Source organism: Homo sapiens, chromosome 3, assembly GCF_000001405.40.
Source record: "Homo sapiens chromosome 3, GRCh38.p14 Primary Assembly".
In the NCBI taxonomy this organism is placed as follows: domain Eukaryota; kingdom Metazoa; phylum Chordata; class Mammalia; order Primates; family Hominidae; genus Homo; species Homo sapiens.
The window spans coordinates 89,817,255-89,834,389 of NC_000003.12; the positions used below are offsets into that span (position 1 = coordinate 89,817,255).

A 17,135-nucleotide genomic window follows, 5' to 3' on the forward strand; every position below is an offset into this window, starting at 1 on the left:
CCAACCAGGGAAAGCTCAGGACCAGATGGACTAAGAGCCAAATTATACCAGATGTACAAAGAAGAGTTAGAACCATTTCTACTGAAACTATTACAAAATGTTGAGGAGGAGAGATTCCTCCCTAACTCATCCTAGGAGGCCTGCATCATCCTGACACCAAAAACTGGCAGAGAAAAAAACAAAAATCAAAATTTCAGGCAAATATCCTGGATTAACATTAGTGCAAATATCCTCAACAAAATACTAGCAAACCAAATCGTGCAGCACATCAAAAAGCTAATCCACCATGATCAAGTTTTCATCCTTGAGGTGCAAAGTTGGCTTAAAATACAAAAGTCAATAAATGTGATTCATCACATAAACAGAACTAAAAACAAAGCCCACATGATGAAAAAAGGCCTTTAATAAAATTAAACATCGCTTCATGTTAAAAACCTTCCACAAACTAGGTATGAAAGGAACATACCTCAAAAAATTAAGAGCTATGTAGAGCCATGTATTGTCACAGGATCCTCAGGGTGTTACTTTTCCAGCTGGAAACCTGTGTGGCTGGTGGTGCCTTCCCAAGTTTTGCTTGGGCCTGCTGGGTTTGTTCTGTCCACTCAACCTGGCAGGCTGCACTCAGCTTATGCTACTGGCCCAGATCCTGTGCCTGTCAAAGGCAAGCCAGGTGTGGAGTGGCAAGGGGTTTCTAAGTGAGTTCCAGCCACTGTACACAGCCACGTGTGCCAGCTGCAGCAGGGTGGACAGCTTCAGGGATTGGTGCAGGGGCCAGCTCTGTGCGAGGCAGAAGCTGGACCAGGCATACTGCAAGTAGCTTTCACTGTGAGCACTGGGGAATGTGGTGGCACCCAAAAGCTTGGAGACACTAGGAACAATAGAGCCCCAAAGATGGTGTCACAGCCTTGGCTAAGGGAGTCCCTAGGTCTGGGCTCCCAAAAGGGCCACAGCTCTTCTCTCCTTCTTGTCACCTACAACGTGGTGAGCAGGGGGCATTTCAGCCTGGTTTGTGTTACAGCTTTTTCAATCCTGCCATTCAGTGGGTCCTGAGTTCTTGCCCCATGTTCAGGAACAATGAGGTACATGGACAACTGGAGGATGAGCAAGGCAGACCTCCTTAATTGAGCAATGGAATAGCTCTCAGGAGACCCAAAGTCAGTAGCTCCATTCTGGAGCCAGGTCATTCTGAAGATTGTCCAGCTCTTGGAGGAGAGGAGACCCATAGTGGGTAGCTCCTTTCCACAGGCAGGTCATCCTGATAAATTGAGGAGACTAAAAATGGGTAGCTTCTTCCCAGAGCTGGTAGTCCCAACATCCTTGTGAGTCTGTCTCATACACCCTGAGTCCAGGGTTTTTATGGGCCCAGAAGGGAGGAAGTGTGTGTTGACGGGTTCGCAGGCAGGCCCAGGAAAAGTACTATAATTTCTCACTCCAGACCACGGACTCCACTTGGAACTGGCAGCCCAGCTCTCAGGCTTCAGGCTGTCCCTGGCTTGAAGGTGGGGTTTCACTAGCGACCCATCCTTTCCTTCCAGAAACTTGTCTCCCTCTCACAATCAACATGCCATCCACAGCACCCAGCCTGTTTATGCTGAGGGGCACCTGCAGGCCCATGATGAGCTTCCCTCACCCCCCTTCAACCTTCTTTTGCTTCTTGACACCCAAAGTCTGGAGGGGGTCAAGGCAGCAGGGGCTGGAATGTCAGCACCACCCCATGTGTGCACACACCTGCCCAGATCTCAATAGTGCCTGGGCTTGGCCACATATTCGCTCCACACTGGAATGGGCACCAGGAACAGGGAGATGCCAGAGAATGGGAGAAAGCACTTCTGAGCCTGCACGGGCAGGGATTTTTCCAGGCCCCGGAAAATGCAGGAATGCCTGGGTCCAGAGCCACTGCTGGGCAGCTGCAGCTGTGTCCAGGAGCATGGGGCTACTGCCCCACCAACTCAGTAGGGGGAGGGGCTCTTTTCTGTTCCAGGCCCCCTCTGACTCCACAGAGCACAGAACCCTGGCCACACCTCTTGTGCTGCAGCTGGCATCCCCACAGTGGCTGCTCCAGACAGGCCGCCACCGCCATCATAATGACAAACCCACAGCCAACACCATACTGAATGAGCAAAAGCTGGAAGCATTCTCCTAGAGAACCGGAAAAAGACAAAGATGCCCATTCTCACTGCTCCTATTCAGCATAGTCCTGGAAGTCATAGTCAGAATGATGAGGCAAGAGAAAGAAAACACAATCAAATAGGCCAAGAGAAAGTAAGAAAAATTCTGTCTGTAGATGATATGATTCTATACCAAGAAAATCCCACCCAAAAGAGTGTATGTATTCTCTGCCCAAAAGCTCTTAGATCTGGTAAACAACTTCAGCCAAGTTTCACTGTACAAAATTAATGTACCAAATTCAGTAGCATTTCTATACACCAACAATATCCAAGCTGAGAAACAAATCAGGAATGCAATCCTATTAACCATAGCCACAAAAAGAAAAAAATACCTAGGAATACCTCTGACCAGGCAGGTGAAAGACCTCTACAGCAAGAATTAGAATAACTAATTATAATTACAACTAATTCAACTAGTCAATAAAATCAGAGATGAAACAAGCAAATGGAAAAATATTCCATGCTCACAGAATGTATTGAGCTCATGGATACACCCTTTTGGATAGGATTTTCTTGGTATGGAATCATATCATCTACAAACAGAAATTGTTTTGCTTTCTCTTTGCCTATTTGATTGTGTTGTCTTTCTCTTGCCTTATGCTCAATATTGTTAAAATATCCATTCTGTTCAAAGCAATCTATAGATTAAGTGTTATTCCTATCAAACTACCAATGACAGTCTTCATAAAATTAGAAAAAAAAACTATTCTAAAATAAATATGGAACCAAAAAAGAGCCCAAATAGCCAAGTATGCTACAAGATTACAGTAACCAAAAGAGCATGGTACTGGTACAAAAATAGACATACAGACCAAGGGAACAGAATAGAGAGACCAGAACTATAGCTGCACACCTATAGCTATCTGATTTTTGACAAATTTGACCAAAAAAGCAATGGAGAAAGGACTCCATATTCAGTAAATATGCTGGGATAACTGGCTAGCTATATGCAGAAGACTAAAACTGGGTCCCTTCCTAACACCATACACAAAAATCAACTTAAGATGGGTTTAAAACTTAAATGCAAAACCTCACACTATAAAAACCCTGAAACATAATCCAGAAAATACCATCCGGACATAGGCCCTGGCAAAGACTTTGGGATGAAGAAACCAAAAGCAATTGTAACAAAAATAAAAATTGACAAATGAGGTGTAAACTAAACGACTTCTGCACAGCAAAATAAACTATCAACAGAGTACAGAGACAACCTACAAAAAGGGAGAAAATGTTTGCAAACTATGCATCTGACAAAGGTCTAATATCCAGAATGTATAAGGAACTTAAATTAACAAGTGAGTAACATATAACCCTATTAAAAATGGGCAACAGACATAAACAGACACTTAATAAAGAAGAAGTACACACAGCCAACAACCATATGAAAAAATCTCAACATCACTAATCATTAAAGAAATTCAAATCTAAACCACAATGAGATACCATCTCACACAAGTCAGAATGGCTATTACTAAAAAGTCAAAAAATAACAGATGTAGGTGCGGCTGTGGCGAAATGGGAATGCTTGTACACTGTTGGTGAGAGTGTAAATTAGGTCATCCACTGTGGAAAACAGTGTGGCAACTTTTCAAAAAACTTAAAACAGAAGTACCACTTGACCCAGCAATCCATTATTGGGTATATATCCAAAGCAATATAAATCATTCTACCATAAAGACACATGCAGTTGTATGTTCATCACTGCACTATTCACACTAGCAAAAACATGGAATTAACTTAAATACCCATCAATGGTAGACGGGATAAAGAAAATGTGGTATATAGACATCATGGAATGCTATACAGGCAAAGAACAAGATCGTGTTCTTTGTCACAATGTGAATGGAGCTGGAGGACATAATCCTAAGTGAACTACTGCAGGGACAAAAAACCAAATAACGCATGTTCTCACTCACAAATGGGAGCTAAACTTTGCATATACATGGACAAAAGGAAAAGAATACCAAACACGAGGGCCTACTTGAAGGTGCAAGTTTGGAAGAGGGAGAGGATCAAATGACTGTCAGGTACTATGCTTATTACTTGGGTGACAAAATAACTTCTACACCAAACTCCCATGACACAGTTTATTGATTTACCAAAACTGCACGTGTATCCCTGAACCTGAAATACAAGTTTAAAGAAATCCTTCTATGCCTCTTCATGGCTATGTGACTTTGGATAATCTATTTAAATTATTTGTGATTCAGTTTTCTCTTTCATATAATGCAAATAATAATAATGATACTTACTTCATAAGGATGTGAGTATTCAACACATTATGTGGTAATTACAGCACGCAGTTCACAAACAGTGATAAAAAAGTTAACAATAATTATTTTAATTATTTTTTAAAATCTGCAGCACAAAGAATAAGTATAGAAGAATATGATGCAGATTTGAGAAGGCTAGAAAGATCATGTGGCCGGCATAGTCCATTTTTTTCATGCAAAAGTGTTTTCATTTGACAATTTTATAAAGACTCATACATTTAGATCTTCAACCTCCTGTCAGACACATCCCTGTGTCATAGTTATGTCACACAAATATGCTCTACTATTCCCAAACCTATACAATACAATCTCTATTATCAGTGGTGAGAGTCATTGCAATTGTCTACATCTTTACTATCTATTCATTCCAAATAGTCATTTTTAAAGTCAAATTGTTCCATTGGCAGATTAAATTATATACAGAAAATGCTAAAATAATACATTAAAAACTATTAGAACTAATACATAAATTCAGTAAATTTGCAGGATATAAAGCCAACATGCAAAAATCAGTAGCATTTCTAGATAAACATAGTGAACAACTGAATAAGAAATCAAAAAAGTAACCCCATTTACAACAGCTACCAATCAAATAGAATACCTAGCAATAAATTTAACCAAGCAGATAAAAGATCTCCACAATGAAACTACAAAACATTGGTGAAATAAATGGAAGAGAAAAGATATAAATTAGAAGATATCCTATGTCCATAAATTAGAAGAATTTATATTGCTAAAATGTCCATAATTCCCAAAGCAATTACAGATTTTGTGCAATCCTCATCAAAATACCAATGACATTCTTCACAGAAGTAGAAAAAACAATACTAAAATTAACCACAAAAGTCTTCAAATAGCCACAGAAATCTTGAGCAAAAAGAACAAAGCGAGAGGCATCACACTGACTTTAAAATATACTACAAAGCAATGGCAACCAAAACAGTATGGTACTGGCATAAAAACAGACACATAGAAAAATAGACCAGAAAAACAAACACATATTAAAACATTAAATATGTATGTAAATCTATATATTTACAGCCAACTGATCTTCAACAAAGGTGCCAAGGACACACATTGGGGAAAGCACAGTTGCTTCAATAAATGGCACTGGGAAAATTGAATATCCACATTCAGAAGAATGAAATTAGACCCTAATTTCTCACCACTTACAAAAATCAACTCAAAATGTATTAAAGACTTAAGTATAATACCATAAACTATAAAACTATTAGAATAAAAAATTGAGGGAAAGTTTTAGAACATTCATTCTGGCAAGGATTTTTTAATAAGACCTCAGAAGCTTAGGCAACAAAAGCAAAATGAAGTTACATCAAGCCAAAAAGCTTCTGCACAGGAAAGGTGGTTGTGCTATGGGTTAGAAATTTGGATTACTGCTGTTTTGTGAATAAAAATAAGTATTCCTTTGGTCAAATTTTGTCCCATTGACTTTAGTCATTTATTATAATTAGAAGTAAGGTTTTTATTAATAATTTTATTTCCAAATTTTTATTAAATTGAAAGGAAGTAGATCCATATTTTAACTTAAATGTAATTTTCAATATTGTGGTTGCATAGATATACATGTAATAAGTAAGCTAAAAATAAATGTTTAAAAAATATTGGACCACTGATGAGAAAATTCTATCCTAAGATATTACCAAATAAAAACATTTCAGTACTCTAAGTTATATTGGAAAATTTATATAATAGCTTACATAGAAACACTACAAGTCAGATAAAATAAAAATCACATTATAATTTATGCTAACATAAAAGTGTATAACTACTTTAAAGGATGTATAAGTAAAAACATTAAGAATATTTCATACCTTCACACAATTACAGCAAGATTCACATTACAAACTATAGGTCATGGATACAATAAAACAGGCAAATATGTCAATAGTTTAGTTAAAAATGAAGAAAAACTACAAGTTTTTAATCAGCAAAAAGTAACTTTGTTCCAGGTAGTTAGAAAGAATAGATTAAAACTAACCCTGTAACCAAGTTTATAAATAAAAATAATTTCATGAGACAGAAATGTGATATATCTAATTAACAAGGTTGTTCATATTTTAATTTTTATAGTGATAGTGATGAGTGATCATGTAGATGATCCCCATAAATATCTCCTTACAATTGTGAATCTATATGATTGAATCCATATTTATCTTAAATGAATATAGAAAAGTTTGCCTTTAATAAAATATGTTAAAGATACAATATACAGGAAAAACTTCAAAATTAAAAATTAGCCATTTTATGTATGTGTTTCAAAAGAGATGTTGGGCTTGTACCAAAATGTAAACATTTCAGACTTGTTAGGAAATATCCGTCAAATCTATCAGTGGTTTATATATTTTAATTTGTTGGTGACTACAACTTTGGCTTTTTGTCCAATGATTTATTCCTTTTGGCAATGAATCTCAGGTCTATTAGATTTATCATACAAAAATATTGTTCCTTCTCATCAATTTACTATTTAATGATACATGCTCTTTTCCTCAATTGTCCTTTATATATTCACACAGAAGTAGTTTGAAATATGTAGTGTTCTTAAGAAATTAATAACTTCAAATTAGATAAAAGTTAATGTTAACTGTGTAATGATATTAAGAACCAATTCTGTGGTTACTTTTTTTTTTTTTTTGATACAGAGTTTTGCTCTGTTGCTAAGGCTGGAGTACAGTGTCATGATCTCAGCTCACTGCAGCCTCTGCCTCCTCGGTTCAAGTGATTCTCCGGCCTCAGCCTCCCAAGTAGCTGGGATTACAGGCATGTGCTACCACGCTCAGCTAAATTTTTGTGTTAGTAGCAGAGATGAGGTTTCATTATGTTGGCCAGGCTGGTCTCAAACTCTTGGCCTCAAATGATCTGCCTGCCTTGGCCTCCCCAAGTACTGGTGTGGTTACTTTATATAAACATATATATATATGAATCATCATCCATGCCTCAAAATTAGAATCCCAGAAAGGAAGTTACCTAACATGACGTGTACTCAAGAAATCTGGCCAGCATGTTGATCAGGAATTAGAAAGGGACAAGAAAGGTACAAAGAGAAGAACAATTATCACACAACTGGAAGAGTCTGAGTTGAAGGACCTCTGAATCTCTGTAGCAGCAGTAGATATGAAGGCTAGAGAGATGTAGGAAATAGGATCAATAAGATTTGAAAACTAATTAATTGTATTTCAAGAATGAGAGGAGATAAAGTTGGGAAAAAATGACTCAGACGTTTCTAACTTAAAAAACTAGATGAAAAGAAAAACTCTACCTTACCAAACCTTTTGGGAGTTAGAAAAAATTATACATTTGTGTCCAAATATGTTTGAAGGCAAAATCTCTGTTAAAATCTAGTAGGTTTTGGATATATGGAGCCAAAATGCAGAACAGAAATTGGAGACAGAGATACAAATCTTGGTGAGAGCTGAAGCCTCAGGGTTGAATGTGTTTGCAAGGAAAAGTAAAGCATAGATGGGACTAATGACAGAGTGTGCCAATAACAGTCATGCAAAATGGTAAAATTTTAGAGGCAGGCCAGGGAGAGCAATATATAAAAAGATGGAACAACAACAACAAAAAAAACAGTTATGTTGTTAAAACAAAAGAGGCAAATGATGTTAGGTGTGGTAAGTGGTCCCATTGGAAAAGATAGACCACAAATCTCTCCTGAAATATTAAATAAAGAAAATAAATAAGTCAAAAATTAATCCAAGATATAACCAGTAAGTCACTGGGAACTTAACAGAGAGAGGAGATTTGGTAAGAAGCATTAATTTAGGGTAGGAAGTGTATTTTTGCTTTGGTGTCTGTTAAGTTCATTGTGATGAAATCCACCCAAGAAGATATGTTCATTTGGAAACTGGTGAAGGAGCTTGAACTTGGGTAAATGGACGTGAATTCTATTATTAGATATATAAATATATGACAATTGATAATTTACTAAAATTTTTCATAGCCATTTGATTATTTTATGTATTTCAAACATTACTAAAATAATCCCAACTATTAATTGAACACTTGAAATATTCTAGGAATTATGTTTATCTCTTTATGTGTCATTTAATCCTTACAACAAAACTTCAATCTCAGTAGTATTATTAATGATTAGATTTTAAACATGAAAGCACTGGGAGTCACAGAGCAGTTTACGTACTTGGCCAAGGTCACATAGCTATAGAGAGAGTGGGCTACAACATGGGTACTCTGAATCTAGATTCTGAACTCTTCGCCACCATGCAGTACTTATTGCAGGTGTTAAGGATAAATGGCTTCTAAACATTCATAGAAGGAAAATTAGTTGATTCTGCTAAAATTGAAGGACTGAATTTCTCCTTTAAAGATTAATGGAAAACGCCCATGAAACAAAATCTGCAAGAAAATAAGCAAATAATGTAATCATAAAATTAATTTGCTTCTTCAAGAAAGAGGGAACACTTCCGTTACTGAAAACTTGTGCTTGTTATAGAAAGCATATTTTAAGCAATAAGCATGTATTATCTATGTTTATGTTGATTTTATAATTTTTATAGTTTTTTAAGTTCCAAGTCCTTACATGTTTTAAAAGATTAAAACAATGGTTTTAACTTTTATCCTGAAATGTATGCAAATTTTCCAGTTCTGCTTTAGAATTACTTTTACAGAACTATAGATCACCTGGAAATTTTGAATACATTAATTTTCTCTTCACAAACAAATGGTTATTATTACAAGACAATGCAATTGAAGATACGGTTGCATATTAGCAGTGGATATTTGAAACTAGAACAATGAGTTTTCTAAAGATGAACTTTTTAATACACTCCTACACTTCTAAAAGTAACTATGGGACATGCACTATAATTATGTGTTATAGAAAATGAATAAAAGATGTTCTTCAGAAACAAATATAAAGTAATATGAGAACTCCTTCTCATCTTTAATTTAAAACAATGCTACCGCACATTTGACCCAAAAGAGACTTTATCATAAAACATTCAGAATCACATACAAATTAATATAAAAACACAGGTTACATGCACTCTCAAATCTGCTATCAATTTTCCACGATTTTTTTTAATTGGTAAAGTTAAGCCATCAATATTTCCCTTACTTTTTCCAGTATGTAAACTCAAAATTATTTTCAAATATTTATATTCCATATGCTACATATTACAAATTTTTTTAAAAAGCAAGACAAATTGTACCTAGTCATAAATTTCAACTAGGCTTTCATAAGCAAGTAATAGATTTCTTAAGATATGGCTGGGCGCAGGGGCTCATGCCTGTAATCCCAGCACTTTGAGAGGCCGACGGGGGTGGATCACCTGAGGTCAGGAGTTTGAGACCAGCCTGGCCAGCAGAGTGAAACCCCATCTCTGTAAAAATACAAAAATTAGCCAGGCGAGTTAGTGGGTGCCTGTAGTCCCAGCTACTCAGGAGGCTGAGGCAGGAGAATTGCTTGAACCCAGGAGGCGGAGGTTGCAGTGAGCCGAGATCACGCCATCGCACTCCAGCCTGTGTGACACGAGCAAAACTCCATCTCAAAAAAAAAAAAAAAAAAAAAAGAAGACATGGCTAATCAACTACAATTAAATATGCACATTATAAATATGTTTTTAAAATAAAGATCTTTATTTCTTAGGTCTTTCTAGCCATAGAATTCAGCAAAAACTATGGATCAAAGATATTCAGTTCAAAAATTAAAATAAGTTTCTGAGCACTGAAAAACTTAATAGTTGAAGGTACTTGGTGGAAGAGTAGATGTTGCTTACTGAAATCGCTTTATTACTGCCTAGAATAACTATACCCTGCTTATTCCTGAATATAAAAAAATAAAGTCTCTAAGAGAGTAAATACATACTTATATCAAATAGGAGGTATCTTATCTTAACTGGATTTAATGTTGACTAAATTGGTCTTATCCCCACGGAGCTTCTAACGCTGCTCCTGGCATATAGAGCAGATTAGAAAAAAGAAAAAAGCTCACCCTTAGGTAATCAGAAATCCCTTCTACTCTAGTTTTCTAGTGGAGATTATAGATTAAAATCACAGTCATCGATATTATTTCCAAATTAATTTAAGCTAATGCCAGTTTCTTTTGTCAAAGTAAAAAAAAAGTGTTAGCTCAATAACAGTGTAGAAATGTTTAGGACATGTACTTCTCTTGCATTAAATAAGAGAGTGTTACAGAGTGTTTGATTATTGATTAATATTTATTAATAACAATAGCCTGATTGTTTAGGGTGAAATATATTTTAACCAGGCAAATTAGTCATGCCATGAACTCTAAATCTTCCTTGCCCATCTTGTCTACAGAGGCACCAAATCCTGCCAACTCCACTTCCTATCGGTATCAAAAAATGTCTCTTCGTCAACTATCCTTCAATCTGCGTAACATTCTATTCTAATTCAGATCCTTATCATTTCATTCTTATCATAACTTCAATTCAAAGTTATTTTTACTAATGTTTTTATTGGGGCTTATTATGCTTATTATTAAATATAAAGCTTAACTGATAAAGAAAAAACCTCCTCATCCAATGTTCATAAGATGTAACCATGTTCATAACCTTACAGACATTTTCAATATAAGTACAGACATGCATGTGAGTATATGCATGTTTATATTCAAGTATTCAATTTTTACAAAAATAAATTCCGACTTATTGTTTCTTGACTTGGTTTAAATTGTGTGTGTGTGTTAACAATGGGTTGTAATTTTATTAAGATCTTTGGATAAATTCTTGTATTCAGTACCTCCATGTTATATTTATCCAACATTTCAAAATTAATTTAAATATCAGAGACTAAAAAGAAGTAATATCAATAGTAGGCAAAACTTCAAAATTTTTATATAGAAATCATCAATAGACAATATCTGAAGGCCTGTTTTTTTTTTTCCACTTTACGGGTTCCATAAGAATAAACTGATAAAAGACACTATCCTATTTGGTATTAACATACACAGTATTATTCCATTTTCACATTTAGATATTCATCAATAACTTTAGAGGTAATTTCAAAGCAATTTTACCTTATTCCTGAAAGTTATTATATCCATATAAAACAGGGAAAATTGCAAATCAGAGATTAGGCAAATTTGAAAGCAAATACCCCAAATTTTGCATTGTTTAAAGCAGGCTACATCAGTACCTCAAATTTGCATCCTGTGGTAACTATAATATCATCATAGAAAATATGCATAAAGGTATTTTGGAGTGGGAATAATATTATCCAATCACATTCCCTTGCATGGACACACTGTTTTGCTATGCAGACCCAAAAGGGAACCAGAATTGGTCTGTATGGTTGTACCTGGATGCAAATAAGGCCAGTAATTTTCCCTTAAGTGTCTGTGATGTGCTTCAGGCCACCCTTTCCCAGACAGTTCCCAGAAAGATTAATTATTTTAGGACTAGTAATACTAGAAGTTTTCTATTTCCATCCACCTGTTGTATAGGTAGTAAGAGAGTTAGGGAAGCTGGAATGAAGGGAGGAAGTATGATTAAGAGAATGATATTTAAATGTTTATACATAAGCTCTGTTTTGTAGGGTAGTAAAATAATCAAGTGGAAAATATTCAGCAAGTAATTAGAAATGAGTGGTGGGAATTCTGAAAGAAAGTAAAATGTAGATTCTAATGCTAGGTGAGAAGTGGAGCTTTCTGATGCCATGGGATTGGGGGCTATACAATAGGTAGTTTTCTATTACCATCCATCCGAGGGTAACAAGTTATGCACAATATCCTGTTTATGAAATACTAGAAATAGGTTTATATCTACAAAGCACTTTCAAGTGCTCTGAATATTTTAGCACCAGCCAAAATCATACTGATCTCAGTGGTGCTATCTACCTGCCAAACATTGTCTTCACATCCCTGAAAACTTTCTTTAAAAAGTGGTCTATTTCTACTGTTGCAATTTCCTCAGCCTACTCTTTTTTGAAGTGCCTCTAATCAAAATTATACCGTATTCTTACAATGTACACTATTGGGGTGATGGTTACACTGAAATCTCAGTCTGCACACATATCCCCTAAATTTATACAAGAAAAAAGTTCTAAACTCAAAAAATGCTTTAAAAAATAATCACAGATTCTCCAAATATTTTAGTTTTTTTCATTTGTTTTCTTATTTTATGACACATTATCCTGGTCCTCATAGTACCTTCATCAGTTTTGCTTACTCGTCTTCCTCCTGTGTTCAGCAGGTTAGCTGCTAGCTTTCTATTTCTCTCTCTTTATACATTTCTCTATGCAGCTCCACCAATCCCATGACATCAGAAATCTCCACTCTTCACCTAGTGTTCAAATCTACACTTTACTTTCTTTCAGAGTTACCATCTCTCATTTCTAATTACTTGCTGAATATTTTCCAGTTGGTTATCTTACTACCCTACAAAACAGAGCCTCTGTGTAAATGTTTAAATATCATTCTCTCAATCACACTTCCTCCCTCCATTCCAGCTTCCCTAACTCTCTTACTGCCTATACAATAAAATCAAAACATTTTGTTCTGTCGTTTAGAAATATCTCCATCCTTATTGTAACTGCTCATCATTTCAATGGTTATGCTTCATTTTAACTTGAACACTCACTGTGAGCACCCTTGAAATCTTGTAATTTTCTTTCCATTTTCTGTGTACTATTCCAATTACAATTCTCTCCCAATTCATTATTTATCTAAAGCATAACATTCTCAAAGAATCTCTTAAAGCTCCAGAATAATGCTTCTATTATTCTATTACACTCTGTTTATTTCTTGAGTATCACTTATTACACTCCTTAATTACTGAATTTATATATGTGTTTACTTATGAATGTATATAATCTATGTATAGGAAGACCAGGAAGATCTATAAAACATAAGCTTCCCTTTATCAAGGCCTATGTTTTTTGGGAAACAATTTTCCATTCATCTTTCTTTTTTCTGCATGTCTTATGATCAGAAGCATCATAATGTAACCTCCAACGATTTACACTCCAACATAATCTCCTCCTGCTGAGGGTGAAAAAAAACTTTTGACTTCCCTCTAGCCAACAGAATATGGCAAAAGGATGGAATACTCAATCCCTTTATTAACTTACGTTATATGGCGGACCTGATGAGCTAGTTACTCCCATGGTTTTGTATAGGACTATTTCAGCAGACTGGAGTGAGAGACTCTCCTGTTGGCTTTAAAAAGAAAATGAGCTGCCATATTGTGAAAAGGCCTTTGAGAGAGCAATACAGCAAAGAACTATGGGTAACACTTAGGAGGTGAGCATGGCTCCCAGATGAAAAACAGAAAGAAAAGGGAGTTCTCATTTCTGCAATCACCAGCACCTAAATTCTGCTAACAACCAACTGACGCTGGAAGAAGATTCTGCACTCTAGAAAAGAATTCATCCTAACTGACACCTTAAATTTGGACTCATAAGATTAAAAACAGAGGACTCTGTTATCATGCCAAGACTGCTGACTCAAAGGAACTATGAGATTATAAATACATTGTTTTAATCCACTAAATGCATCATGATTTGTTGCATAGAAACAGAGAATTAATACAGGCTCTGATGGTTTTTGTTTTGGGCTATCTTATCCTGAATGACAATATGGCAAATAGCCTTGGAATATTAGTATTTCTCTGAAAACTTGAGGGCAGTTTTGTTCATTGAGCAGTGTAATAAATGTCTTCCTCCAGCACAAAGGGCAAGCAGATTGAAGCTCCTACTTCTTGATGTGCCATAAGTATAAAGACCTTTGTCTTAGACTCAGGAGTCTAAGATACCACTGTCCACGAAACTGCCAAGCTGACTTGTTAACTTGCAAACAGGGTAAAAATATCAGATTCTTCATTGTTCTTGACAATGTGCTTCTTATTCACTTTTGATTTTTTACATAAGGCTAGCAAAATGTCTAACATATAATAGGTGCTCAATTAAAACAATTTAAAGTAATAAATAAACTAATGGATTTAGTAGAACAACTATAACCTAAAGGAATTTCTTCTCACAACCTAGTATGGCATTTATAATCTGTATAATTAAATTTAAAACGGAGTGGAGCCAAAATGCCAAATAGGAACAGCTCCAGTCTACAGCTCCCAGCGTGAGCGACACAGAAGACAGGTGATTTCTGCATTTCCAACTGAGGTACCGGGTTCATCTCACTGGGGCATGTCGAAGCAGTGGGTGCAGGACAGTGGGTGCAGCTCACCGAGCGTGAACCAAAGCAGGAAGAGGCATTGCCTCACCCAGGAAGGACAAGGGGTCAGGAAATTCCCTTTCCTAGCACAGGAAGGGGGTGACACACGGCACCTGGAAAATCAGGTCACTCCCACCCTAATACTGTGCTTTTCCAATGGTCTTAGCAAATGGCACACCAGGAGATTATATCCCCCGCATGGCTCAAAGGATCCTATGCCCACAGAGCCTCACTCATTGCTAGCACAGCAGTCTGAGATCAAACTGCAAAGCCTCAGCGAGGGTGGGGGAGGGGCGCCCACCATTGCCAAGGCTTGAGTAGGTAAACAAAGCATCCAGGAAGCGCGAACTGGGTAGAGCCCACTGCAGCTCAAGGAGGCCTCCCTGCCTCTGTAGGCTCCACCTCTGGGGGCAGGGCATAGCCAAACAAAAGACAGCAGAAACCTCTGCAGACTTAAATGTCCCTGTCTGACAGCTTTGAAGAGAGTAGTGGTTCTCCCAGCACGCAGCTTGAGATCTGAGAATGGACAGACTGCCTCCTCAAGTGGGTCCCTGACCCCTGAGTAGCCTAACTGGGAGGAACTCCGCAGTAGGGGCAGACTGACACCTCACATGGCCGGTTACTCCCTCTGAGACAAAACAAATGGAGGAATGATCAGGCAGCAACATTTGCTGTTCACCAATATCTGCTGTTCTTCAACCTCTGCTGCTGATACCCAGGAAAATAGGGTCTGGAGTGGACCTCCAGGAAACTCCAACAGACCTGCAGCTGAGGGCCCTGACTGTTAGAAGGAAAACTAACAAACAGAAAGGACATCCACACCAAAACCCCATCTGTATGTCACCATCATCAAAGACCAAAGGTAGATAAAAACACAAAGATGGGGAAAAAACAGAGCAGAAAAACTGAAAATTTTAAAAATCAGAGTGCCTCTCCTCCTCTGAAGGAAGGTAGGTCCCCACCAGCAATGGAACAAAGCTGGACGGAGAATGACTTTGACGAGTTGAGAGAAGAAGGCTTCAGATGATCAAACTACTCCGAGCTAAAGTAGGAAGTTCGAACCCATGGCAAAGAAGTTAAAAACCTTGAAAAAATATTAGATGAATGGCTAACTAGAATAACCAATGAAGAGAAGTCCTTAAAGGACCTGATGTAGCTGAAAACCACGGCACGAGAACTACGCAATGAATGCACAAGCCTCAGTAGCTGATTCGATCATCTAGAAGAAAGGATATCAGTGATTCAAGATCAAATGAATGAAATGAAGTGAGAAGAGAAGTTTAGAGATAAAAGAATAAAAATAAATGAACAAATCCTCCAAGAAATATGGGACTATGTGAAAAGACCAAATCTACATCTGACTGGTGTTCCTGAAAGTGACAGGGAGAATGGAACCGAGTTGGTAAACACTCTGCAGGATATTATCCAGGAGAACTTCCCCAATCTAACAAGGCAGGCCAACATTCAAATACAGGAAATACAGAGAACGCCACAAAGATACGCGTCCAGGAGAGCAACTCCAAGACACATAATTGTCAGATTCTCCAAAGTGGAAATGAAGGAAAAAATGTTAAGGGAAGCCAGAGAGAAAGGTCAGGTTACCAACAAAGGGAAGCCCATCAGACTAACAACTGATCTCACAGCAGAAACTGTACAAGCCAGAAGAGAGTGCGGGTCAATATTCAACATTCTTAAAGAGAAGAATTTTCAATCCAGAATTTCATATCCAACCAAACTAAGCTTCAGAAGTGAAGGAGAAATAAAATACTTTACAGACAACCCAATGCTGAGAGATTTTGTCACCACCAGGCCTTCCCTACAAGAGCTCCTGAAGGAAGCACTAAACATGGAAAGGAAAAACTGGTACCAGCCACTGCAAAAACATGCCAAATTGTAAAGACCATCAAGGCTAGGAAGAAACTGCATCAACTAATGAGCAAAATAACCAGCTAACATCATGACAGGATCAAATTCACACATAACAATATTAACTTTAAATGTAAATGGGCTAAATATTCCAATTAAAAGACACAGACTCGCAAATTGGATAAAGAGTCAAGGCCCATCAGTGTGTTGTATTCACGAAACCCATCTCAAGTGCAGAGAGACATATAGGCTCAAAATAAAGGGATAGAAGAAGATCTACCAAGCAAATGGAAAACAAAGAAAAGCAGGGGTTGCAATCCTAGTCTGTGACAAAACAGACTTTAAACCAACAAAGATCAAAAGAGACAAAGAAGGCCGTTACATAATGGTAAAGGGATCAATTCAACAAGAAGAGCTAACTATCCTAAATATATATGCACCCAATACAAGAGCACCCAGATTCATAAAGGAAGCCCTTAGAGACCTACAAAGAGACTTAGACTCCCACACAATAATAATGGGAGACTTTAACACCCCACTGTCAACATTAGACAGATTGAGACAGAAAGTTAACAAGGATATCCAGGAATTGAACTCAGCTCTGCACCAAGTGTACCTAATAGACATCTACAGAACTCTCCACCCAAATCAACAGAATCT

At 37.0% G+C, this 17,135-nt stretch overlaps 2 annotated features.

Annotated features, from left to right (window-relative positions):
- Nucleotides 1,380-1,880: an enhancer, noted in NCBI's record as "H3K4me1 hESC enhancer chr3:89867784-89868284 (GRCh37/hg19 assembly coordinates)". NCBI's record gives its function as "activates a minimal SCP1, AML or CMV promoter by ChIP-STARR-seq in primed H9 embryonic stem cells {active_cell/tissue: H9 hESC(primed)}" and the evidence as "EXISTENCE:reporter gene assay evidence [ECO:0000049][PMID:30033119]".
- Nucleotides 14,141-15,340: an enhancer, noted in NCBI's record as "BRD4-independent group 4 enhancer chr3:89880545-89881744 (GRCh37/hg19 assembly coordinates)". NCBI's record gives its function as "activates an origin of replication core promoter dependent on BRD2, P300/CBP, MED14 and CDK7 cofactors, and independent of BRD4, by STARR-seq in HCT116 cells {active_cell/tissue: HCT116}" and the evidence as "EXISTENCE:reporter gene assay evidence [ECO:0000049][PMID:35650434]".